General features: G+C 38.8%; 1 protein-coding gene and 1 pseudogene across 5 annotated transcripts in view, besides 4 other annotated features; one reads left to right on the top strand and one right to left on the bottom strand.

The window, feature by feature from the left end:
• Positions 1-6,562: 6,562 nt before the first annotated feature.
• Positions 6,563-24,114, bottom strand: ZNF204P (zinc finger protein 204, pseudogene; annotated as a pseudogene). Of its 2 annotated transcripts, NR_024553.1 has the most exons (5): positions 23,934-24,114; positions 18,876-18,964; positions 16,257-16,352; positions 11,919-12,042; positions 6,563-8,961 (listed from the first exon to the last, which is right to left on the bottom strand). The product of NR_024553.1 is annotated as a zinc finger protein 204, pseudogene, transcript variant 2 (transcript). The 2 variants fall into 2 exon arrangements; NR_002722.2 differs by lacking the exon at positions 23,934-24,114 and having other exon boundaries at positions 18,876-20,265.
• Positions 16,259-16,759: an enhancer, noted in NCBI's record as "H3K4me1 hESC enhancer chr6:27335298-27335798 (GRCh37/hg19 assembly coordinates)". NCBI's record gives its function as "activates a minimal SCP1, AML or CMV promoter by ChIP-STARR-seq in naive H9 embryonic stem cells {active_cell/tissue: H9 hESC(naive)}" and the evidence as "EXISTENCE:reporter gene assay evidence [ECO:0000049][PMID:30033119]".
• Positions 16,760-17,260: an enhancer, noted in NCBI's record as "H3K4me1 hESC enhancer chr6:27335799-27336299 (GRCh37/hg19 assembly coordinates)". NCBI's record gives its function as "activates a minimal SCP1, AML or CMV promoter by ChIP-STARR-seq in naive H9 embryonic stem cells {active_cell/tissue: H9 hESC(naive)}" and the evidence as "EXISTENCE:reporter gene assay evidence [ECO:0000049][PMID:30033119]".
• Positions 21,639-21,801: a silencer, noted in NCBI's record as "fragment chr6:27340678-27340840 (GRCh37/hg19 assembly coordinates)". NCBI's record gives its function as "represses an EF-1alpha promoter that drives an FKBP-Casp9 reporter gene in an ReSE screen in HepG2 liver carcinoma cells {active_cell/tissue: HepG2}" and the evidence as "EXISTENCE:reporter gene assay evidence [ECO:0000049][PMID:32094911]".
• The window catches only part of ZNF391 (zinc finger protein 391), a 29,294-nt gene continuing 27,256 nt past the window's right edge, over positions 23,355-25,392 (top strand). For 2 of the 3 annotated variants that reach the window (NM_001322288.2, XM_006715086.3), the window contains exon 1: positions 23,355-23,877. The gene's annotated coding sequence lies outside the window, so the exon portion shown is untranslated. The remainder of the gene's footprint in view (positions 23,878-25,392) is intronic. The other variant, XM_011514569.2, reaches the window with a different exon arrangement.
• Positions 23,760-23,829: an enhancer, noted in NCBI's record as "active region_24282". NCBI's record gives its function as "activates an Ori minimal core promoter by ATAC-STARR-seq in GM12878 lymphoblastoid cells {active_cell/tissue: GM12878}" and the evidence as "EXISTENCE:reporter gene assay evidence [ECO:0000049][PMID:35858748]".

A 25,392-nucleotide genomic window follows, 5' to 3' on the forward strand; every position in this document is an offset into this window, starting at 1 on the left:
TAGAAACACAACTGACCAAAACCTATGGGACACAGCAAAAACAGTATTAAGAGGCAAGTTTATAGCACTAAATGCCTAAATAACTGGAAAGATTTTAAATAAACAAACTAGTGGTGCACCTCAAGGATAGCAAATGCAAGAACAAACCAAATCTCAAATTAGTAGAAATAATAAAGATCAGAGCAGAACTAAATGAAATGAAGACTGAAAAAATCACAGGGATCAATGAAACAAAAAGTTTTTTAAGATTAACAAAATTGATAAACCACTAGCTAGGCTAACCAAGAACAAGAGAAGATCCAGATAAATACAATCAGAAACTAAGAAGAAAACATTACAACTGATACTAAAGAAATACAAAGGATCATTAGAGACTACTATGAACAATTATATGCTAATGAAGTAGAAAGCCTAGAGGAAATAGATAAATTTCTGGACACATACAACCTACCAAGATTGAAACAGAGAACCTAAACAGACCAACAACGAGTAACAAGATTGAATCAATAAGAAAAAGTCTCCCAACAAAGAATAGCCTATGAGCAAATGGCTTTACTGCTGAATTCTACCAAATTCATAAATAAGAACTAATACTAATTCTTCTAAAGCTATTCCAAAAAACTGAAGGAGAGAATTCTTCTTAAGTCATTTTACAAGGCTAGCATTACCCTGATACCAAAATCAGACAAGGACACAGCAACAAACTTATAGGTCAATATCCCACATAATCATAGATACAAAAATTCTCAACAAAACACTAGGAAACCAAATCCAACAACACATCAAAAATACATCATAGTTAAATAGGATTTATCCCAGGGATGCAGAGATGGCGGCTCAGCATACACAAATCAATAAATGTGATATATCACATCAAGAGAATGAAGGACAAAAACCATATGATCATCTCAACAGATGCAGAAAACGCATTTGATAAAATTCTACATCACTTCATGATAAAAACTCTCAACCAATTAGGTGTAGAAAGAACATAATTTAACATAATAAAGGCCATATATGACAAATCCACAGCTAACCTTATACTGAATGGGGAAAACCTGAAAGCCTTTCTTTTAAGAACTGACACAGAAAAAGTGTTGGTGGAAGGGCTGAGGCAAGGCTCACTTGTCTGACATAATGTAAAAGAGTCTTGGAACATGTCCTGGGTCCAGGGTCTAAAACCCCTTGTGGCCTTTGGAACACCAAACTCTGCCAAAGGGTGGAAGGCTGCCCTGCTCCACTACAATCTAAGCCCAGGGCATAAAACCCCTTGTGGCTTGGAGAGAACCCAGGGCTCAGGGCCCCTCCTAGCCTCTGGAATGTGTCCAGACTCGCTGGCCCCTTGCTCCTTGCTCTCCCAAGATCATAAATTGATTGTATCTTGAATTAGAAGAACTGTTCTCCCTTATCTCAAGTAGCAGAGCATATGCTAAACTGTCACAGCTACGCTTGATGCACCGCTACCTTTCTACCCCCACGTCCTCACGTCCTCACCTGTCTACCCCCACGTCTGCATGTCCTCACCACCTGCTTCTTTGATTACCAATAAACAGTGTGGGTTCCCAGAGCTGGGGGCCTTCACAGCCTCCATACTTGTGTTGGCCCCCTGGACCCACCCTATGTACTCTTAACTTGTCTTGTCTCATTCCTTTGACTCTGCTGGACTTTGTAGTCCCCATGACCTGGTGTTGGGTCTGATCACCCGAACAAAAAGGTGAGTGTTCACTACTCCTACTCAACCTAGTATTGTTAAGTACTAGGTAGAGTAGCTAGACAAAAGAAAGACAAGTCATGCAAATTGTAAAAGAGGAAGTCAAATTGCACCTCTCTGCAGACATCATGATCTTGTATCTAGAAAGGCCTAAGACTCCACCAAAAAACTTGTAGAACTGATAAACGAATTTAGCAAAGTTGCAAGATACGAAAATTAACATACGAATGTTAGTTGCATTTCCACACATCAACAATGAACTAGCTGAAAAATAAATCAAGAAAAAATTCCATTTACAATAGCTACAACATAAAATATAAACATAAAATACCTAGGAATAAATTTAGCCAAGGACTTGAAAGACCTCTACAAGGAAAACTATGAAACACTGATGAAAAACAACTGAAGAGGGCAAACAAATATAGACTCACTTGCTCATAAATTGGAAAAATTAATATCGTTAGAATGACCATACTACCCAAAGCAAACTACAAATTCAATGCAAACCCTAAACCAATTATATTCTTCAAAGAAATAGAAAAAAAATCCTAAAATTCATATAGAACCACAAAAAAAAAAAAAAAAAAACTCAAATAGCCAAGGCAATACTAAGCAAAATAACAAAGCTGGAGAGCATCACACTACTTGACTTGAAAATATACTATAAAGCTGTAGTAACCAAAGCAGCATGGTACTGGTATAAAAACAGACACATAGGCCAATGCAACAGAACAGAGAATCCCCAAATGAACCCATATATTTACAGCCAACTGATTTTCAACAAAGATGACAAGAACATACATTGGGAAAGAACAACCTCTTCAAGAAATGATGCTGGGAAAACTGGATATTCTTATGCAGAGGAATGAAACTAGACTCCTATCTCTTGCCATATACAAAAATCTACTCAAAATAGATTAAAGTCTTAAACATAAGACCCAAAACTATAGAACTACTAAAATAAATCACAGTGGAAATGCTTCAGGGCTTTAGTCTAGGCAAATATTTTATGGCTAAGACTTCAAAAACACAGGCAACAAAACCAAAAACAAGCAAACGGAACCACATTAAACTCAAAGCTTCTGCACAGCAAAAAATTCAACCAACAGAGCAAAGGGACAACCTGTAGAATGGAAGAAAATATTTGCAAACTATTTATCCAACAAAGGATTAGCATCCAGAATATACAAGGAACTCATATAAGAGCAAAAGAAAAACCACAAAACAATAATCTTATTAAAAAGTAGACAAAGTATCTGAGTAGACATGTCTCAAAGGAAGATGTGCAAATGTGCAGTAGGTATATGAAACGATGCTCAACATCATTCATTATCAGGGAAATGCAAATCAAAACCATGATGTGGTATCATCTCACCTCAGAATTGCTATTATAAATAAAAGTAACAAATGCTGGTGAGGATGCAGACCAAAGGGTACTCTTATACACTGTTGGTGGGAATATTAATTAGTACAGTCATTATGGACAATAGAATGGAGGTTTCTTAGAAAACTAAAATCAGAACTACCATATGATCCAGCAATCCCACTAGTGGGCATTTATCCAAAGGAAAATCAATTAGTATATCAAAGGGATATCTGCACCCTATGTTTATTGCAGTACTACTCACAAAGGTGAAGATATGGAATCAACAAGTGTCCATGAATGGATGAATAAAGAAAATGTGATACATATACATAAATGGAATACTATTCAGCCATAAAAAGAGTGACATTCTGACATTTGCAGCAATGTGAATAGAACTGGAGGTGTTTATGTTAAGTGAAGTAACCCAGGTATGAAAGACAAATATTGCAAATTCTCATTCATATATGGGGGCTCAAAAGGCCAACCTCATAGAGGTAGAGTAGAGTAATAGTCACCAGAGGTTGGGAAGTGGTGAGGCAATGAAGAGAGGTTGGTCAGTGGCTACACACAGATAGAAGGCGTAAGTTCTAGTGTTTGATAGCACAATAGGGTGACTATAGTTAGCAATAACTTATTGTATATAGTCATGCACCACATAATAACTTTTCTATGAATGATGGACCACATACATGATGGTGGTCCCATAAGATTATTCTGGACCTGAAAAATACCTATTATCGAGTGACGTCTTGATGATCCCAAGTTTGTGTCGGCCTAGGCTAATGTATATGTTTGTGACTTAGTTTTTAACAAAAAAGTTTTAAAGGTTTTTTTTATAAAGCTAAAAATAGGAAATAGTTTACAGAATAAGGATATATTTGTACAGTTATACCATGTGTTTGTGTTTTAAGCTAAATGCTATTACGAGAGTCAAAAAATTAAAATGAGTTAAAAGTTAAAAAATTAAAAACTTTTAAGTTTATAAACTAAGTTTAGTTTACAGTAAGATAAGATCAATTTATTATTGAAGAAATTATAAAGTAAATTTAGTGTAGCCTAAGTGTACAGTGTTTATAAAGTTTACAGTAGTGTACAGTAATGTCCTAGACCTTCACATTCACTCACCACTCATTCACTGACCCACACACAAGCAACTTCCAGGCCTGCCAGTTCCATTCATGGTTAGTGTCCTATATAGGCGTACCATTTTTTATGTTTTATACTGTACTTTAGGTGTACCTTTTTAATATTTAGATACACAAATATCACTGTGTTACAATTGCCTACAGCATTCAGTACAGTAACATGCTGTACAGGTTTGTAGTCTAGGAACAATAATATCATATAGCTTAGCTTAGGTGTACAATAGGCTATTTCGTCTAGGTTTGTGTAAGTACATCCCATCATGTTTGCACATCCAAATCTATTTATCAATGATACATTTCTCAGAAAACATCCATGTCATTAAGTAACACCTAACTATATTTCAAAATAGCTAGAAAATTCAAAATGTTCCTAAGACGAAGTAATAAGTGTTTGAAGTGAATATCCTCAATATCCTGATTTGATTACATATTGTATGCATCAAAATATCACATGTACCTCATAAATACATATAATTATTAGCAGTAAAAGTTAATCTAAATAAATCATCATTGGTAAGTCTGTATGTATATCCAAGACTGCTTCCTTAAAATACATTTCCAGAAATGAACATGCTAGGTTAACCAACGTAAATATTTCTAAGTCCCATGTTGCATATAGCCAAACTGCCTCCAGAAATATTGTACCAATAAATATGGGATTCATAACAGTATTAATATACTCAAACCCCACATCTAAACCACGATTTTCTGAAAACAAATTAGGCCAAATATTTTTTCACATTTTATTGGTCACTTTGCATTTCTTCAGTGTGAGATCTTTAACTCTTTCCTTTTGGGGTTTATTTCATTACATCTCTTTTCTATCATATATACGACAGAAAAGTGCTTTTTTCAAACTGTCATTTGATTTTTCAGTTTTTAAGGTATTTAGAAACATAAATTTTAGTGTTTTTTGGTAGAGATAGCTATCAATTATTTTTTGTGAATATTTCAGAAAGCTCCCACAATCCCAAGAGTGTTTAAGTATTTGTGTGTATATATTTACTTCTCTTATAATTTCAATTTTATATTTAATCTTTAACCATCTGGGAAATGTATTTGCTATAACAATTAGCTACTTCTCTGAAAATTTACTGAATTATCCAACCACTCCTCATTTAGAATTTCATATGCTAAATTATTTCATGTACTGAAAAAATTAGTGTTTTCTCTTGTGCTTTACTGATGTATCAATTGTTTTGCAGCTCCCCTGCCATGCTAACTCAGAATTATCATATTTTGGAAATATTTTGCCCACTCATCACCCTTTTTTTCTTTCATACTAAAATTAGAATCATCTTAAATTTAGCTTACAAATATGGTTTTAACTGACAATTGTATTCACTCATCCCATAAAGGTACATAATTCCTCATGTATGAAATCAGCCTTTTCTCATTATAAAAATTTCTAAATAATTTTTGTTGTCTTGCATATTTGTTATTAAACTCATTCCCATATTTCATATTTCTACAGCTATTGTGAATATTTTTTCTATTATGCTTTCAAATTATTAGTACTTATGTGTATATAGTACTACCAATTTTACACATATTCATTTTGTAGCTGTTCACAAAATCATATGAATGTGCCATGCATTATTCCAGTGAGAAAGTCTATGGAAGTAACAGGTTCTCAGAGGGACATATAAATTCACAAAAGCTTAAACACTACTGCTTTAAGTTTTCTCAACGACTATCTAGCAGGTTCATCATTATTTATCCTTATGTGTAAGCAGTTGTCCTGGACACCAAAACCAACTCCAAACTCAGTAAGTCTGCACTAAGCCACACACTGGATAAGTTCCATAACAAGTGGATTTTCCTGTCCCTAGATGATCAATTGTAAATTACAGGCTTCTGAGCTAAATCTTCATATTTTCAGGCCATCGTCTCTGTAACCATAAGAAAAAGACAACAGACTTTTCTAGACATATTAGATCTCAAAATGTACTCTCATTTACATGGCCTTTACATATTTAGGTGTGGAAATAACAAATGCACTTTCCAATTTCACCCTTTCTAGATACTTGATTAAGTCATGTTTTCCAGCCCCTTCTCAGCTGGAACATGATGACTGCCATATTCAACTTAGTAGAGGTTTATATTGCAAGATTGGGCTTGAATGAAATCCAGGTAACTTAGCCTTTATCTATCAACAATTTGATTCTTTTTTTCTCAGTTTTTATCTAATACCATATTCTTAATCAAGAAAAGATCTCAAACCCCTAATGTAATAATTCATAGAACTTATACCACTTTATCTCTTAGTTTTCTTCAATATTTGTGACATGTATTTTAGAAAAGTAATGCAAGGGTAATAAACAGCTACATGACACGTGCTCTATATCATATCTTTATTGACTCCTTAATAACTACTACAAGCTCACTTGTGAATCACACCTGATGTACAATAAATAAGTCACAATTCTGAACCACATCTATAGAAACTTGAATTCCTAGTAAATATAATAATTGAGGATCTTAAAGCTCAACAAGTCAGGCCTTCCAGTTTTTCAGATGAGGAAATTAAGGCCTAAAGATATGAAGTGACTTACCCCAAAGTAAAAGATCTAGTTAGTAATAGGAGCTGAGATTGAGATCCATGACTTTTAAAACCCAGAATCATGCTCTCTCCACTAAACCATGTGATCATTCTAAGTAGTCAACAGTTTTCACGATCCTCCTTCTGTTTCCCTGGGAAGGGTCTCCATATTAACCAAATTCTTAAGGCATTCAGAGAATCTCTCCAGTGTGAGGTTTTTATTGTTGTAAAAAAGAAGAGTTTTGTCTAATGGTTTCCCCACACTCAGTATGTATATTTGATTTCTCTTCACTATGAATTTTTTGGTGTTTTGTAAGATATGTGCTCTGGCTAAAGGCTTTCCCACATTCATTACATTCATAGGGTTTCTCTTCGGTATGCATTTTCTGATGTTTTTTAAGGTCTGTCCTCTGCCTAAAGGCTTTGCCACATTTACCGTATTCATAAGGTTTTTCTATAGTATGAATGACCTGACATTGAATAAGACCAGAGCAGTAACTAAAGGCCTTTCTACATTCATTACATTTATAGGATTTTTCACTAGTATGAGTTTTCTGGTGATTTTTGAGGTCTGTACTCCAACTGAAGGCTTTTCCACATTCAGTACATTTATACGGTTTTTCTCCAGTGTTGAGTTATCTGATGTTGAACAAGTGCTAACCAATCACTGAAGGCTTTTCCACAGTCAGTGCATTTACTGGTATGAAGGTACAGTCAGGGCTTCTTTCTGGTATGAATTCTCTTATGTTGAATTAGGGCTGAACAGAAACTGAAAGGTTTCCCACAGTCATTACATTCACAGGGCTTCTCTCCAGTGTGAGTTCTCTGAAAATGTCCTGAGCAGTCACTAAAAGCTTTTCCATATTCATTATATTTGTAGGGTTTTTCTCCAGTCTGAACCCTCATATGCTGTGTAAGGAATGAACTCAGGCTGAAAGTTTTCTCACATTCATTGCATTTATACTGTTTCTCTCCTGCGTGACTTCTCTGATGTTGAGTAAGGTATGTGCTTCTGCTAAAGGCTTTTCCACATTGCTTACATTCATAAGGCTCTTCTCCGGTGTGAGTTCTTTGATGCTGAATAAGGGATGAACAATCACTAAAGGCATTCCCACATTCATTGCATTTGTATGGTTTCTCTCCAGTGTGCATTCTCTGATGTTGAATGAGGTCTGAACAGTAACTGAAAGTTTTCCCAGTCATGATATTCATAGGGTTTCTCTGCAGTATGGACAATATGATGTTGAATAAGAGCTGAGTGATCATGGAAGGCTTTCTCACATTCATTACATTCATAGAGTTTTTCTCCTGTATACATTCTTTGATGTTGAGTAAGATGTGCACTCTGACTAAAGGACCTACCACATTCATTGCATTCATAAGGTTTCTCTCCAGTATGGATTCTCTGATGTAGAGTAAGATGTGTGTTCTGACTAAAAGCCTTTCCACATTCAAGACATGTATAGGGCTTCTCACCAGTGTGAATTCTTTGATGCTGAGTAAGGTATGTACTACGACTGAATGTCTTGCCACATTCAGTACCCTCATAAGGTTTCTCTCCACTGTGAATTCTCTGGTGTTGATTAAGAACTAAGCAATAACTGAAGGCCTTCCCACACTCACTGCATTTGTAGGGCTTTTCTCCTGAAAGAGTTTTCTGATTATTTCTTAAGTGGGAACTCTGATTAAATCCCTTTCTACACTCAGTACATTTACAGGGTCTCTCTCCACAATGAGTTATTTGATGCTGAACAAGAGTGATGTGGCCTCTGAAGGTTCTCCCACATTCACTATATTTACAAGGTTTTTTTTTTTCCATCATACTTTCTTTGTATAATTAAATCTGAGTTTTGTTTGAGCATCTTTCAACATGTACCATATTTATGACAATTCTCTTCCATAGGATCTATCTGTTCTGCAACAAGTATTGATCTTACAGTAAAATTTTTCACAAATTCATTAGATTCTATGTCTCTTTTTCTGGTAGGAATTTTTGTGCAGGTAGCTATCTCTTGCCCTAGATTATTCTCCTTGTTTAGCTGCTGATTCTTAAACTGGCCTCTAGATTTCCAGATTTCTTCCGGTACAGACTTTCTCTTTGCAAGTTCTTCCATCTCTAATCTTTGAGATTAATCTTCTTTTGAAATGTCCTGCTGCTCTACTCTTGATGTCTTGGCCCCACGTTCAAGCTTCCCATCTAAAAGACATAAAAATATGACTCTACTATGTGCCAAATGTTGGGAGAAAAGAAGCTGGTATATTAGGAATGGAATAATGAAATTGCAGATACTGAGAACATAAAATACTGGGACTATAAGATAGTAATCTAGGGAGGAGTGAGATGGAAATACTAGTGGAGTGAAAGTGTCTGATACAGAGCATAACGCAATCAATGGGAATGAAGCAAACATTCTGTCAGGTGAGAAGAATGATTAGGGAAAAAACTAAATGGCGAATATTAGAAAAGAGAAACAATGAGCAGGGATTAAGAAATGAAAACTGTTATCAGAAAGAAATAGTCTTTTAGAAATTATCCTATGAGAAAACTACTTACTCAGCATTGAAACTATTATCTTAAAAAATACTAAGAGCTTTTTATTTTCAATAAGCTTTTATATTAGATTTTTTAGTACTTGTACAAAGTAATACTTTTAGCTAATTATTCTTTGTCAGGTAACTGCTGTTATTGCTTTACACTTGATATAAAAAGACCATAAACTCTAGGTTTAAGGACAAAGGAAAGGATGAAAAGGGAGAAATTTACTCTTTTGAAATGAAAAAATAATTATTAGGTCTTTCTAATGACAAATCTACATTATTTTTCACTTTCAGTCATGGATAAAGAGGCAAGTAACATAAAGCATAGGGAAAAAAGGATAGCTCTTCTTCATCAGCATGTTAAAAAGTAGTCCTTCACTCTGGATTTATTCTTCAGAGAGAGTTATTGTATTAATATGATGACTGAAAATTGTTTGTAAAGTCATGATTTATAATGGGTTTCATTGCAGGATGACTGGGAAGGGACCTGGCTGATTTATTAGAGGATGCCCAAATATTGGCACCTACAGTTCTTTTATCTTAGGCTGATTAGTTTCCCCAGAATGAATCACTTTAACCTTCTACCTGAAAGGGAGTAGGATGTAGAAGTCCAGTAGAAGGAAAAATTGAGGTGAGGGTCTCTCCATTCAATATGTAGATTTTTACTAAACCATCTGTTTTCAATGTGTCCCCTAGATTCTGGCATATATTACACATAAAAATTAATGATTTTATTAGCTGTACTCCTAACATTCAACACTCATTTCTCATTTTAACTCTAATTTATTTATCACACTGGTCTATAAAAAAAAGAAAAGCAAAAACAAAAACAATAACAACAAACAATACTTCATTATTGCTTCTCCTGCACAAAAAGCCCTTTCTTCTTTCTTTTGCCCATCTAATTCTTGACACTACTTTGGAGCGCCACTCAAATGACACTAGTCCCACAACATTCCTAACTCTCCAGTTTCCCTGATTTCCTACTACTTACTATTTTAACTTCTAATTTTAGCACTTAATAGCAGTGCTGTACATTCTTTATCTATTTTCTCCTGTCTGCACATGTTGTCTTCAAAGTTATCATTTCATGTCTTAGAAAAAGGGAAAGAACTTTGATGAAGTTTTTGGTTTATAGCTAATATTAATTGAGTTTATGCTGGGCTGACTTACAAGATCAACATATCAAATCTTCCTAACAAGCCTATAAGTGAGATAATAGAATGTCAATTTCAAGGGAGGTTCAGAATGCTGAAGTTACTTGTCTAAGGTACACATAAGTCAAACTCCAGAGTCCAAACTCTTAGTCTCTACTGCTGCCCCAAGAAGCAGTCCAATATAGTAAAAAGATAATGGCTAGAGACTCAGAATATCCTGAGCTTAAATCCCAAGTCCTACTATGTGTGTGACATAAGGGGTAGGCTTCTTGTTTGGTGCCTTTTCAGTACTACATACTGCTGACAATGTGATCTTTTTTGTTTTTTTGAGATGGAGTTTCGCTCTTGTTACCCAGGCTGGAGTCCAATGACGTCATCTCGGCTCACTGCAACCTCCGCCTCCCGGGTTCAAGTGATTTTCCTGCCTCAGCCTCCCCAGTAGCTGAGATTACAGGCATGCACCACCACACCTGGCTAATTTTTTGTACTTTTAGTAGAGATGGGGTTTCTCTATGTTGGTCAAGCCAATATCCTATATTTGGAAAACTAAGTGTTTGATAGTGAATATCTACTTTTTAAATAATTATAGACATAAATACTAAGAGGAATATTCAACCTGTAAACTGAAATAACCACTATAGAGATGACATTTTATAGACATCTAATATTAAGAGGCAGGAACAAAAACTATGAAAGGAACCCATGGAGTTCTTAGGAGATTAGATGAATCAGAGCTTTACACTGTCATGCACATCATGAAAAGATGATTTCATAAAAGACAGTGAACTGGATCAATTTTACCCGCAAAGATAAAAGAGGGCTAAGAAGAGGTCCTCAGATTCTCAAAGAAAAGGAGTCATGTCCTTCATAAGTATATTTACAATACAATGGTGAGAGACAAACACAAATTACAGGGTCAGAATTCAGGAAAGTAAAGTAAATCCTAGCAATCACTTTCCAAATCTGCATGGGTCACACCTTTTGTCATAAACAGGGAGGAGAAACAGTTGTTTCTGAACTCAGAAATGAACCTGATCCTTCAAATCCAAGCCAAATGCAGTAAAGTATGCAAATAATAATAAACACAATAGTGGCAATAATAACAGGAAAAGCAGCAACGCTAACATTTACCAAGTCCTTATACTATATCAGGGCTTTTATGCCAACCACTTATTTTATTCTGTCTCTTACAAGAAATCCTGAAGAAACAGTTTTTTTTTTAGGATTTTACAATATTTTATTTTTAGCCCTATTTATATGGCGAATGGCCTCAAAAGGTTTTTAAAACCCTAAGGGTTTTTAACGTAGCAAAGCCAGGACTTGGACTCAGGTCTCCTCTCCAAAACCCACATTCTGAGCCACCACATTACGCTTGCCATGACTATTAACAACTAAAGATGACAAAACACTGCATGAAAATATTCTAACATGCAGAAAGAAAGTAACCTTTAACCTTTACCTAGCAAAACCAGGTTTCTATATTTTTCCAACATGTTTCTGTATATGGACTTCTGAACAGTGTCCATTTGCTTCCACTTCTCCCAGGTGATGTCCATAGCCACCTCTTCCAACGTCTTTGGTAACTAAAAACCAAATATATTTGCATTAACACCAGAAGCAATTATACTGATTTGCATCCAAAGTAATAGATGAAGGTAACCAAATTGGGGGAAATGAAAGAAAGAGTATCAAGTTACATCACATATTTGTTGAGCACTCACTGTGTGTTACACATTATAATCTAATTTTCTTGGCACTATAAAATAAATTTGAGACATTATCCTTGCTTTTTATCTTAAAATTTTGGGCAAAAAAGATTTGTATGCCAGGCATGGTGGCTCACACCTGTAATCCCAGTACTTTGGGAGGCCGAGGTGGGCAGATCACTTGAGTCCAGCCTGGGCAAGGTGGTGAAACCCTGTCTCTACAAAAAATACAAAAAATTAGCCAGGCATGATGGCACACATGGGTGGTCTCAGCTACTCAGGAGGCTGAGGTAGGAGGATCACCTGGGCCCAGGATTTTGAGGCTGCAGTGAGTCTGGGGTGACAGAATGAGACCCTATCTCCAAAAAAAAAAAGAAAGAAAAAAGAAAAACGATTTGTATGCATAAAGTAGGTAAATAATATAATAATATAAACCAATGACAAATAGTATAGTTAAAACAATAAGTGCTAACATTAAAGTAAAACAGCCTGAATAAGGAAAGGTTTCCTAGAGGAAATAGAACACAAGAAGGACTTCAAAAGAGATCATAAGCAGTCTTTTTTTTTGAGTCGGAGTCGCTCTGTCACCCAGCCTGGAGTGCAATGGTGCAATCTTTGGCTCACTGCAACATCCGCCTCCCAGGTTCGAGCAATTCTCCTGCCTCAGCTTCCTGAGTAGCTAGGATTACAGGTGCCCACCACCATGCCCAGCTAATTTTTGTATTTTTAGTAGAGATGGGGTTTCACCATATTGGCCAGGCTGGCCTATTGGCTAGGCTGGTCTCAAACTCCTGACCTCAGGTGATCCACCCGCCTTGGCCTCCCAAAGTGCTGGGATTATAGGCCTGAGTCATTGCACCCGGCCCATAAGTAGTCTTTTTTAAACTTCTAGGGAGACCCATGAAGAGATCAAGAAATCTGTTTAGTGGGTAGTAAACCTTATTTAAGAGTGTAGACTCTAGAGCTAGACCTAGATTCAAATCCCAGGTTTACCACCTACCAACTATAGAATCTTGGCCAGTTAAACTCTGTCTCATCTACAAAATGGGGACAATAACAAGTCCTACATCTCAGGCTTATTACAAGGATTAAATGAGTTAACGTAAAGCACCTAGAACAGAGCCAAGAATATAGAACGCACTATCTAAAAGTTAACATTACTTTTAGTGAAAGAGCAGAATGAATAACAAGAATGTTATTCATATTGAATGATATTATTTGCTATTCATATTGAATTACATTATTTGTCATTCAATAATAATGTTTTGACATGCTTGAGTGCCTGGTACATAGTATGGGTACAATAAGTCATAGATGAATACGTGACTCTTCATTAGTCTCTATTGGGGCAGAAACGTAGGATCTAAAATATGCTGCAAAGCCTTTTCTTTTAAACACAAACATTATTCATGTAATGCAAAAGAATTTACAAAGTATCAGGTATTACATGTATTATATACTCAAATGCATCAATTATTATAAAGCAAATATAAGGTTTGTTAAAGGAAGATAGATCGACAAAGTATGTGAATTATCAAATTTTGAAAAACAGAGAAAAGTCTTTTCCTGGGAAGCATTCTTGAGTTTACAGAGTACAAAGTTGAATAGAGTCAAGTATTTATATTTAAAGTTGATCACTTTTATTATAAAAAAGCAAATTTTACAGTTATTGCAATGCCTACTGATTAGTTTTCTCCCTCAAAGCGTTTTTAGGATACTTTTGTTTTGAATAATACTTTTGTTTTGAACTAATAAACATTTATTCATTCAACATGTATTTATCGAGCACTGTGCTAGGCACTGAAAATACAATGCTAAACAAAAATCAGAAATAGCACATGATTTCATAGAGCTGAGTGTCTAGTAAGTGATAACCAAACAATCACACACAAATATAAAATTGTAACTGTTACAAATGTCTTTTAAAAAAGAGTCACATGGCTGGGCACAGTGGCTCACGCCTGTAATCCTAGCAATTTGGGAAGCTGAGGTGGGCAGATCACCTGAGGTCAGGAGTTCAAGATCAGCCTGGTCAACATGGTGAAACCCCGTCTCTACTAAAAATACAAAAATTAGTCAGGCATAGTGGCGCGTGCCTGTAATCCCAGCTATCTGGGAGGCTGAGGCAGGAGAATTGCTCGAACCCGAGAGGCAGAGGCTGCAGTGAGCCGAGATCGCGCCACTACACTCCAGCCTGGGTGACAAAGTGATACTCTGTCTCAAAAAAAAGAGTCACATGATTTCATGAGAACCTTTAATAAGGGCATCTGACCTGGTCACTGTGTTAGTGGAGGTTCATATCAGAAGGCACTACTTGAACTCATTTCGGAAGGATGAATAGGCATTGCCTTGGTGAAAAAAGTAAAGAAAACCACACCAAGCAGAGGAAATAGCAAGTGTGAAGGCACCATCATGACAGGGGGAATGGGGAGGAAGAGAGATTGAAAGAAGGCCAATGTGAATAGAGCAAAGAAGGTATACAGGAAGAAAGGGGGAAGAACTGAGACTGAAAATTAGAGGCCAGCCACATGAGGCTCACAGGCCATGCAAAAAGTATGGCATCTTTATCCTGACAGCATTAGGGAGCCATTTAAGAGTCGTAAGCAAAAAGGTGACAAAATCAAATTTGAGAGCTGCAAAAGACCCTTCTGGCAGTAGGTGGAGTAAGTAGAAGTAGAAGGGCCAGAATAGACATGGGAAAATATTTGTGTGGATGCTCCAGGAATCTAGGCAAGAAATGATAAGGACATGAATTAAAGATAAAGTGAGTAAATATAGAAAGAAGTGATAGATTTGAAATATATTTTGGAAATAAATTTGACAAGGTTTGATGGCAACCTGGATACACAGATGAAGGGAAAGGGACTATAAAGATGGATTTCTGGACTCTGGCTAGAGTGGCTAAATGGATGGAGTGCCACTGTGAATTTTGTTTGATTAATGCAGAAATAATTAAGAAAGTTCTGGATGAAGGGAAATCACACCAGATAGAAATTCTGATTCCCAAAAAGAAATAAAGAAATAAAGAGCATTTAGAAATCATTGGGCAAATTAAAATTTGTTTTTAAAAGTTTGCTTTTATCTTTATTTTTTTTTCCTCTTTTTCTTTTTTGAGACAGGTTTTTCTCTGTCATCTTGGCTGGAGTGCAGTGGCACAATCTCGGCTCACTGCAACCTCTGACCCTGGGTTCAAGTGATCCTCCCACCTCAGCCACCCAAGTAGCTGGGACCACGGGCATGCACCAACAGGCCTAGGTATTTTTTTTTAAGTTTTAGTAGAGACAGGGTTTAACCATGTTGGCTAGGCTGGTCTTGAACTCCTGAGCTCAAGCGATGCACCTGTCTTGGTCTCCCAAAGTCCTGGGATTGCAGACATGAGCCACCACGCCTGGCTGCTTTTGTCTTTATTTCTTTATAATATATATAACTATTTAAAATATATACATAACATTTTCTTGAACAACTTATAACATATGTAGATGTAACACACAGAACAACAAGCAGAACAAAAAGAACGAGGTGTCATAATTGAACACATATAGTTGCAAGGCTTCCACTTTTTGTGAAGTGACACATTAAATCTAAGAAGATTGTGAAGAAGTAACGATATATATTGTAATCCCTAGAGCAGCTACTAAAAACGTAGTTTAAAAGTCTGTAAGAAAATTTAAGATTTTTAAGAGAAAACCTTAAAATTCAGCCATATGAAGATTAAAATTAATATAGCAAATTAAGTTTTCCACAGAAGTGTTAGGGACTGCCAAGATTATCGAGGAGGCATTTTGAGGTTGGAGAGCATAAACTTTTAATTGTTTTAAATCATTCAACATTTATTCAACACAAGTTTAATGAGTACTATATGCTAAATACTCTAGGCACGGTGATATAACAGTGAAAGAGACTAAAAAACAAAACAAAACAAAAAGAAAAAAACTCTGCCTACATAGAGCATACTCCATAGTAAGAAAGACAAACAATACACTCGCTACATAAATACATTGTATATTATTTATTGGTCTGTTCTTGCATTGCTACAAAGAACTACCTAAGACCAGGTTAATTTATAAAGAAAATAAATTTAATTGACTCACCATTCCACAGGCTGTACAGGAAGCACACCTGGGGAGGCCTCAGGAAACTTACAATCATGGTGGAAGGTGAAGGGGAAGCAGGCATGCCTTACATGGCTGGAGAAGGAGGAAGAGAGAGAGAGAGGGCAGGTGCCACCCACTTTTAAACAACCAGATCTTGTGAGAACTCACTCACTATCAAAAGAACAGCAAGGTGGATATCTGCCCCTATGATCTATCACCTCCTACCAGGCCCCTCCTCCAACACTGGGGATTATAATTCAACATGAAAGTTGGTGGGGCGGGAACCCCACTCTTCCAGGAACAGCTGCAGCTGCCCAGCTGTGGCTGTGAACCTGGGCATCCCTGTGCTCTTGCGGGCCCTGGAAGCCCTGTCCTCCACAGGCTCCAAAGTGCCTGCTCCCACTGCTTGGCATCTCCCTGGTCCTGGCATCCACTCTGATTTTACAGCAAAGTTGAGGCTGAGCCTGGGTGCAGTCACGACCTGACCAGGTGTGCTCAGGGCAGCGCTGACATGCCAGCCCCTGCCACCTTTCCCCCCTCCAGACTTTGGGCACTGAAGAGCATGGGAAGGAGGCTGGAGCCGGGTTGAGGGTGGCTCAGTGTGGGCCTTCAGGCCCAGCACAAACAGCCTGGGCACCATGGAGGACATAATTGATGGTGACAGGAGGCATACAGGCTCCTGGGTGGAAAGGGGTGGGTCCCCTTTGAAGCCCCACCCTCCAGCCAGGGATGGCCTAACACATGGGGGCTGGGCTGTCAGTTCTGGCTGCAATCCACAGCCTGGCCTTAAGTGAGAACTTCTGGTGCTTCTTCCAGCCACCCGTGGCCACCGTGGACCAATCAGCACGCACTTCCTCCCTTCTGAGCTCATAAAAACCTCAGACTCAGTCAGATTCAAACAGACATGGGGAGGACCTAACTGCGGAAACGAGCTACCCACTGCAGGTCTCCTCTCTGCTGACAGCTGGACACTCATGGATACAACCTGTCTGTGGAAAGAAGCCACCCACTTTGGGTCTCCTGAGAGCTGTTCTGTCACTCAATGAAGCTCCTCTCCACCTTGCTCACCCTCCAGTTGTCCACATACCTCATTCTTCCTGGACATGGACCAAGCATGGGCCAAAAACTTGGGACCTGCCAAATGGAAGGACTGAAAAAGCTTTAACACAAACAGGGTTGAAACACGCCTCTCCATCTGCCACATTGCAGGCAATGAAAAGAAGAGCTGTAGCCCTTAAGTGAGCCTAGATCTAGAGACTCCCTGAGCCAGCACTATGACACCCTCTTTGGGGCTCTGTGGCTCCTGGCATCTCCAAGCTTCCAGAAGCCATTGCTTTCCCCTTGTCCAGACATGGGTGCCCACAGTGGAAGTACTTCCATTGCATGCGGTATATCTGTTCCAGCTGCAGCCTTGTGCAGAGCTGCTTGCACCACCACAGCAGCCAGCATGCTTGGTTGTGCTCACTGGCCAGACCCCATGCTCACTTGCCCACACACCCCTTGCTGTGTGGCTCACCCTTGGCAGATGTGGGATCTGAGACAGTAGTGTGAGTTGAGCACAGCCTGCCAGGCTGAGTGGGTGGAACGAGCCCAGTGGTAAAACCAATACTCAATTACTCAGGCAGAAGGAGCTGCCGGCCATAGAGGCTTCTGGCTGGCGAAGCAATAACCCAAGGATCCTATGACATTTTCAACTTGTCTTATTACCTTAACATAATCTATTTACAATGCTAACTCACCCCAATTAGTATCCCACCTATGTCCCCTCCACAGCACACTGGTGTCTCTTCCAAAGCACCTTATTCCTCTTAGATATTCTAGGTTCTCTTAACTGGAGTTACTTTTAATTCCTTTCTCTTTCATCCCCTAAATCTAAACCAAACCATTACTGTTCCTTACCAAAACAAGCTGTGTCATGGCATTTTTTTTCCCAAAGTTTCTAATAATTCACAATCAGCTCTACAACAAAGTCAAACCCTTAGTCCTACTTAGCACAGCAAATTTCACCCTTAAAATTTTCAATATATGGCTACTACCCATTGCCCATAGAAGACACGGTCTCTTCTACCTCTAAGTTTTGTCTTATATTTTCTTCCCTTAAAATCCCTCAGTTCTCCTTTGACAAAATTGCAACCATATCTCAGTGCACACCAAAATTCCACCCCTTCATAAAATCCTCCAAATCACACTCTCCTTCTCTGAACTCCTATGGGATGTTTTCTCTTTACTACTTAAAATGGATGTGTGTGTTTCCTTGAATTCTTCCTTAACTCCTTGGTTAGACAAGGCTGCTGAAGAACTGAATACCACAGACAATGCCTAATTGAGAGCCTACCTGCTATGCTAGTTATCAAATGCTAGTTACTAAATGCTATGCTAGTTACCAGAAACAAACAAACAAACAAACAACAAAAACAAAAACACTATGGGAAGGCAGGTGGCAATAGACAACCAATCTTATAAAATTCATGATCAAAGAGAATAGGCCTTGGTTCCTAGAAAATAAAATATCTGGAATTCAAGTGACTGAATTGAAGTTTTTTTGGGCCCCAAACCACCAGAATGAAAGTAGAAAATATAAGATATTTCAGGAAATGAAAAGAAAATCCAGCTCACCCTGAATCCAGCCATAAAGGGCCTAGCAGTCATTCTCTCTTCTTCTGGGCTCTTCTCTTGAAGAAGGGCAGAGTCTTGAGACAGTGGCTCTGAGGGAAGAGAGAGGAGCTACGAAGAAGTCAGCTTGTGTCTATAGCAACCACTTGATATTCTAGAACTACACTCTCCAATATGGTAGCCATTCCCCACATGTAGCTATTTAAATTAAAATTAAATAAAAGACTTAATTCTTCAATTGCAATAGTCACATTTCAGTGCTCAATAGCTAATGTGGTTAGTGGCTACTGTACCGAGCAATGTATACATCAAAAATATCCACAAAAGTTATATTGCATAGCACTGGTCTAGAAATCCACATATGTGGTATGTTTTTGAAGTCATACCAACTGAATCTTCAGCTCCAGGAAGTAAAGGCAACCAAACATTCCTTGCCACCTCATGACCACAGAAACGCCACAGGCATTGCATTCTCAATAGTTTGAATGTTTGCCTTCCCAAACCTCTTGTTGAAATTCAATTCCCAATGTTGGAGGTGGGCCTAATGGGAAGCTTTGGATCACGGCGGTGAATCCCTCATGAATGGCTTGGTATTGTCCCCCATAGTAAGGTTCTCACTCTATTAGTTCCTGCAAGAGCTGATTTATTCATTTATTTATTTACTTTGGTTGAGGTGGAGTCTCACTCTGTCGCCAGGTTGGAGTGCATTAGCACAATCTTGGCTCACTGCACCCTCCGCCTCCCGGGATAAAGCGATTCTCCTGCCTCAGCCTCCTGAGTAGCTGGGACTACAGGCACCCGCCACCACTCTCGGCTAATTTTTGTATTTTTAGTAGAGATGGGTTCCACCATGTTGGCCAGGATGGTCTCAATCTCTTGACCTCGTGATCCATCCGCCTCGGCCTCCCAAAGTGCTGGGATTACAGGTGTGAGCTACCGCTCCAGGCTAAAGCCGGTTGTTAAAAAGAGCCTGGTCCCCCTCTCCATTCTCGCTTTCTTCTTCTCTTGCCATGTAATCTCTGCACGTGCCAGCTCTCTTTCACCTTCCACCATGAATGGAAGCAACTTGAAGCCGTCACCAGAAGTAGATGCTGGAGCCATTCTTTTTATATAATCTACAGAACTATGAGCCAAATAAGCCTCTTTTCTTTTTAAATTAACCAGCTTAGGTATTCCTTTACAGCAATAGAAGCAGTCTAAGACACCATCCATGGTTTAAGTAGGTTCCAGATAACAAGAGCAGTTACCTAGACTCTATCATAGCATTTACTACCTGTTTTGAAATTATCTTTTGGAGTATCTTTTGCCATCCCCACCCCTACACACGAATCAAGATTTTCCCATCTTTATATTCCTAACAACAAAACTGTGCCTGGCATATATATGTAAGTCTTGATATGTTTGATGAAATGAATAGACGAGGCTAAAATTTGTGTCAAACTCATAATTTAGATTTTAACATATTGAATTCTCACATTCATTCAGCTCTGTGATAAGGACTTTTATAGGCACTGGGGATGCAACAAGTACAAGACAGAATAAAGCCCCTATGAGAGGGCCAGCAAAAAAAAAAAAAAAAAGCAAAACTAAACCAAACCATACAAGCATATATAAACTCAAGTAGTTACAAACATATCCCCAAAAAAGTAGAATAAAAGGATAAACAAGACCTTTATTTTAGATGGCATGGCCAGGGAAAGCTTTTCTGAGAAGGAAACATTTTTATCGGATTTGTGTAAAAAGAGAGAGTAAGCCATAAAGATATCTCTGGGCAGACTGAGAAAACAGCAAGTGCAAAGTCTGCAAACAAAATCTTGAGGTTGGAATATCCTTGTCATGCTCTAAGAACAAGGAGGCCAACATAAGCTAATAGAGTGTAAAAATGAGGAATTTATCATTAAGTGCTATAAAATAATGCTGTCGCCCTTGGTTTTTTCGAGGATATAGGAGAAATTACTTGGCAAATCCTTTCAACATAGGGCATACTGCCCTTATTATCAGAGGCAGTGTTGGTTAATGGAATAAACACTTCACTGGGATTGAAGAACCCTGAATTCTAATATCTGAGTTAGTAAAATGCTGTACAGCATTAAGCAAGTCACTAACTTCCTTGAATCTTTGTTTGTTCGGTAACAAAACAATAGGGATAAGAGTATCTGTTCCTTTTGTTTTACAGAACTTTGTAGGGAATAAGAAAGATGTAAGATTTTAAAAAGATCCTCTGAATTTAAACATTTGAAGGAAGAGGTTTAGGACACTGCTTCTCAAACTATGGTCCGTAGATCAGCAGCACCAGCATCACCCGGGAACTTGCCAGAAATGCAAATTGTTAGGCCCAACCCCAGACCTACTGAATCAAAAACTCTGGTGGTGAGTTTAGCAATGTGTTTAACAAATCCTCCAGGTGACTCTGATGCATACTCAAGTTTAAGAAGCATGAGTTTATAAGAAAATGAAATTGTTAAAGCCAGCTCCTGAAAGACCTAAGCAATGGAGGATGTCCTCTTGGAGGTTTAGAATGTTATTGCTTGCAGCTGCCATGAGCTAGTTATTTTATTTTTATTTAGTTATTTATTTTTTGAGACAGAGTCTCGCTCTGTCGCCCAGGATGGAGTGCAGTGGCACAATCTCGGCTCACTGAAAGCTCCGTCTCCCGGGTTCACACCATTCTCCTGCCTCAGCCTCCCGAGTAGCTGGGACTACAGGCGCCCGCCACCATGTCCGGCTAATTTTTTTTTTTTTTTTTTGGTATTTTTAGTAGAGACGGGGTTTCACCATGTTAGCCAGAATGGTCTCGATCTCCTGAACTCGTGATCTGCCTGCCTCGGCCTCCCAAAGTGCTGGGATTACAGGGGTGAGCCACCGCGCCCGGCCATGAGCTAGTTATTATATTGAATGTTTCACATAAACCAGAGGAACTCAGCAGACAGGACCTGGTCCTTGTATTGAGTGGAAGAAATAACTACTGGCATTTAATTTGTAGGAGTCAGGGATCCCAGATGTCCTTCAGCACAGGACAATCCCAAACAATTTTTTAATGTTTTGCAGGACATTCAGATGGGTAAAAATTCTATTGATAATTATCAGAGACTAGAACCTAACTCTTTTTTTACACACAACCACAGAGTCTTTTTCTTTTCTTTCTTTCTTTTTTTTTTTTCAGTGCTAATATATGATGATTTTCTATAAGGACAACTATGGTCTAAATCAAGGTACTTTGTTCTGAATTTTACTGAGATTCGATCATTTTATCAGCCTGAGTTGCAGTGTATTCTCTTTTATTTCTCCTTTATTGTAGAATTAGGGCATCATATGGCTTTAAAATAGGTAGGTTAAGCTTATTGCCAATTTAATGAATTTTATTTATGGATAGAAATGGGGGCATTACAAAATATTTGTTATACAAAGAGCCCGCTTGGTCTGAAAGAGTTGAAAACTATTGAGATATATTGGGTCGTTTAACCTCACAACAACCCACTATGAAAGTTAAATCCCCCGAAAAGGTTAAATAACTTGCCCAAGGTTACCACAGAGCCAATAAGTTTCAAAGCCAGGATTCAAATTCAGACCTGTTTGGATTCAAAATCCTGGCTCAAGAAAAATGTATGTTCACACAAAAACCTGTAGGTGAACATTTACAGCAGCATCATTCATAATTACTAAAATCTGGAAATGATACAAATGTCCTTCAAAAGGTGAGATTTTTTTTAAAACCTGATACATCTATATACAATATTATTTAGCAATAACAATATTATTCAGCAAAAAAGAAGAAAGTGACACAATAATGTGGCCACCTTAAAGGCTTCATACTGAGGGAGAGCAGCCAGTGTGAAAATGTACATATTGTATTATTCCACTTATATGACACTCTGGAAAACACAAAACTATAGAGATGGAGAACAATCAGTGGCTGCCAGGGTTAAGGGTGGGAAAAGAGTGTAAATATAAAGGGGTAGCACAAGGAAGTTTTCTGGAGTGAATGAAACAGCTCTGCATCCTGTGGTAGTAGTTACCGGAATCTAAACATGTTCTAGAACAGTATGCCCCACCATGCCAATTTTATGTATGATAATTTTAAAATTAACTAAACCAGGCTGTTTCCATTGTACTATGATAGATAAAAGGCTGGAGTGGAGAAAGGGGTACGTACATTTGAAGTGACCCAGAGAGGGGTTTTGGTCGTCTTCATACAGCCCCTACTACACAAGCGTGAAATTTCGCTTTCTTCCCACTTTCTCACACGAAAACTCGTGTGTGTGTGTGTGTGTGTGTGTGTGTGTGTGTGTGTTTTCCTCAGCCTTCAGGTGAGGAAAGGGAAAGCTCTCCTTTCTCAAATCAGTTCCCAGAACACACTCGCTCTTGAGCTGGTCTATTTCTTATCTCTCTTCAGGCAAAGTCGTATCCTCCACCTTACCTGCTCCAGCCGCTGTGACATCACGCAGGTTCCGTTCCCTGCACTACCGCTGGTTATGTTTCCTTAGTGACCCTAGGCCTCTTGCAGGAGAGTCCCTGGTCCCAGCCAGCGGGAGCGGCTTCTCCAGTTTGTGGCTCTCGGAGAGTTCGCCTCGTCCCTCCCTCTCAGATAACCACCTATTTCTGACCTCTGGAGGCCGGGCTGAGCCCGGAATTTTATGACCAGCGCCCGCTGGCCGTCGTCACCCTCTAATTTCTCGCAAAACTCCCGGGGACCCTTCTTAATGTCAGTAGCCACAGTCGCCGCCGCTCCTGCGCCTAGAAGCCTTCCACGACCCTCAACCCCACAGAGCCCCGAGCAGGCTCGGGTTCCCGCAGGATACACTGCCCGCCCAGTGGCCTGGAGGGCGCGTCCCGGGCTCCCCTACGCCTTTTGGAATCAGCGACAGACGCAGGTATAAAAGAGAGCCTCCACTCCCACCTCTCCAGGGCTCCCCACCCGCTCCTTCTGGCCGCTTTCTCCTGAAAGAGCAAGGCACCCCTAGAAGCTTCAGGCTCCTCCACAGGCGAGTGCCTACCCACCTATCAGGTAAGACGTGCAACTGACACTCAGCGCGCGGAGGAGCCCGCTGAGAAAGGGTTTACCTGTCCGAAGAGAACTGCGCTTGCATGGCTCTGGCTGTGGGCCGGCTGGCTCTTGTCCGCAGACTACATTTCCCAGGGTTGTCTGCGGCTGGAGAGATTTAGGGTTTGGGGCGTGGCTAGCACAGGCCTGAGGTCCTAATTGGGAGGTGTAGGCATGGCGGCTGGAGAGTCTGATCTATGTGACACCTCCACTGTGACTAGGGTATAACGTGAATAATTTGTATGCAGTAAAGTTCCTCTGCATTACATCATTGACAGATCTCTAGTAAGCAAAGGACAGAAACAGGTTCTTATTATCTCTTTTATAACACACAAACATTAAACCACTAATTAAAAATCACAGGGTCCCAGAAAAATCAGACACCTTTATTCTACAATAAAAATAGCCAATTAAGCACACACTGTATGTCAGGCTCTCTTCTAAGTACTTTACATGTTTTATCGCATTTGAGAAGGCAAAAATCAGCCCTGCTATTAACCAGACTCAATGACACTGACAGGCTGCTGCAAAGTTAACATCAAGCAATATTTCTACCAAAATCATACTGTAGCAGCTATAAAGTGTCATAATTGTTAAAGGTGGAGGGAGTCCAGGTTCTCGGCGTCTTGAACAAAGAATTGAACAAATCACACAAAGCAAGGAAGGGACAAAGGGATTTATTGAAAGTGAAAGTACACTCCACAGTGTGGGAGGGGGCCGAGCATAGGAACTCAAAGACACCGTTACAGAATTTTTGGGAGTTTAAATACCCCCTAGAGGATTCAATTGGTTACTTCGGGTTCGCCCTATGTAAATGGAGAGGATGAAGTAAAGTTACAAAGTCATTTATGGTGTAAGCCCTATGGAGAAGATATTTCCTGCTATACCTGAAGTGTGAAACAGTTGTATGTTTCCTGCCTCCAGGCCCTATTTTCCTGCCTCAATAATCACTCTCTTTAAATGTTTATTGTTTCCTTATCAATGACATGCCCACCTTTGTCTTGCTACTCTCACTAAAAAAAGATAATATTGTTTGCTGAAATCATAAGATTGTCAAGAATTTTGCTATTTGAAATGAATGAATTATTAATGAATTATTATTAACACATTACAGATGAGTAAATAGTCACAGAGAGGTTAAGTAACTCACCCAAGGTCATTCACTTGATTTGGCTACAGGAGCACATATTCTTAATTGCTGTAGAAACAGGCCCAAGATGTTATTAAAGTTTCACAAGTAGCAAATGGCAAAACTAGGATTAGAATCCCTTTCTATTCCCAGTTCAGTCTTTTTCCTTATACTACCTCACTGTGGTATTTTTTGGATTGGGACGTATGTGTGTATGTGCTCTCTAACTCCTCTGCCTGATCTTGTATACATCTCTGTATTGCAAATGACAACATCTCTGGGATCCAGTCTCTTCATACTTAAAATAGAAACGAAATCAGTTTCCACCCATTGATAAGGTATAACCTTAT

This window comes from Homo sapiens, chromosome 6 (assembly GCF_000001405.40).
Source record: "Homo sapiens chromosome 6, GRCh38.p14 Primary Assembly".
In the NCBI taxonomy this organism is placed as follows: Eukaryota; Metazoa; Chordata; class Mammalia; order Primates; family Hominidae; genus Homo; species Homo sapiens.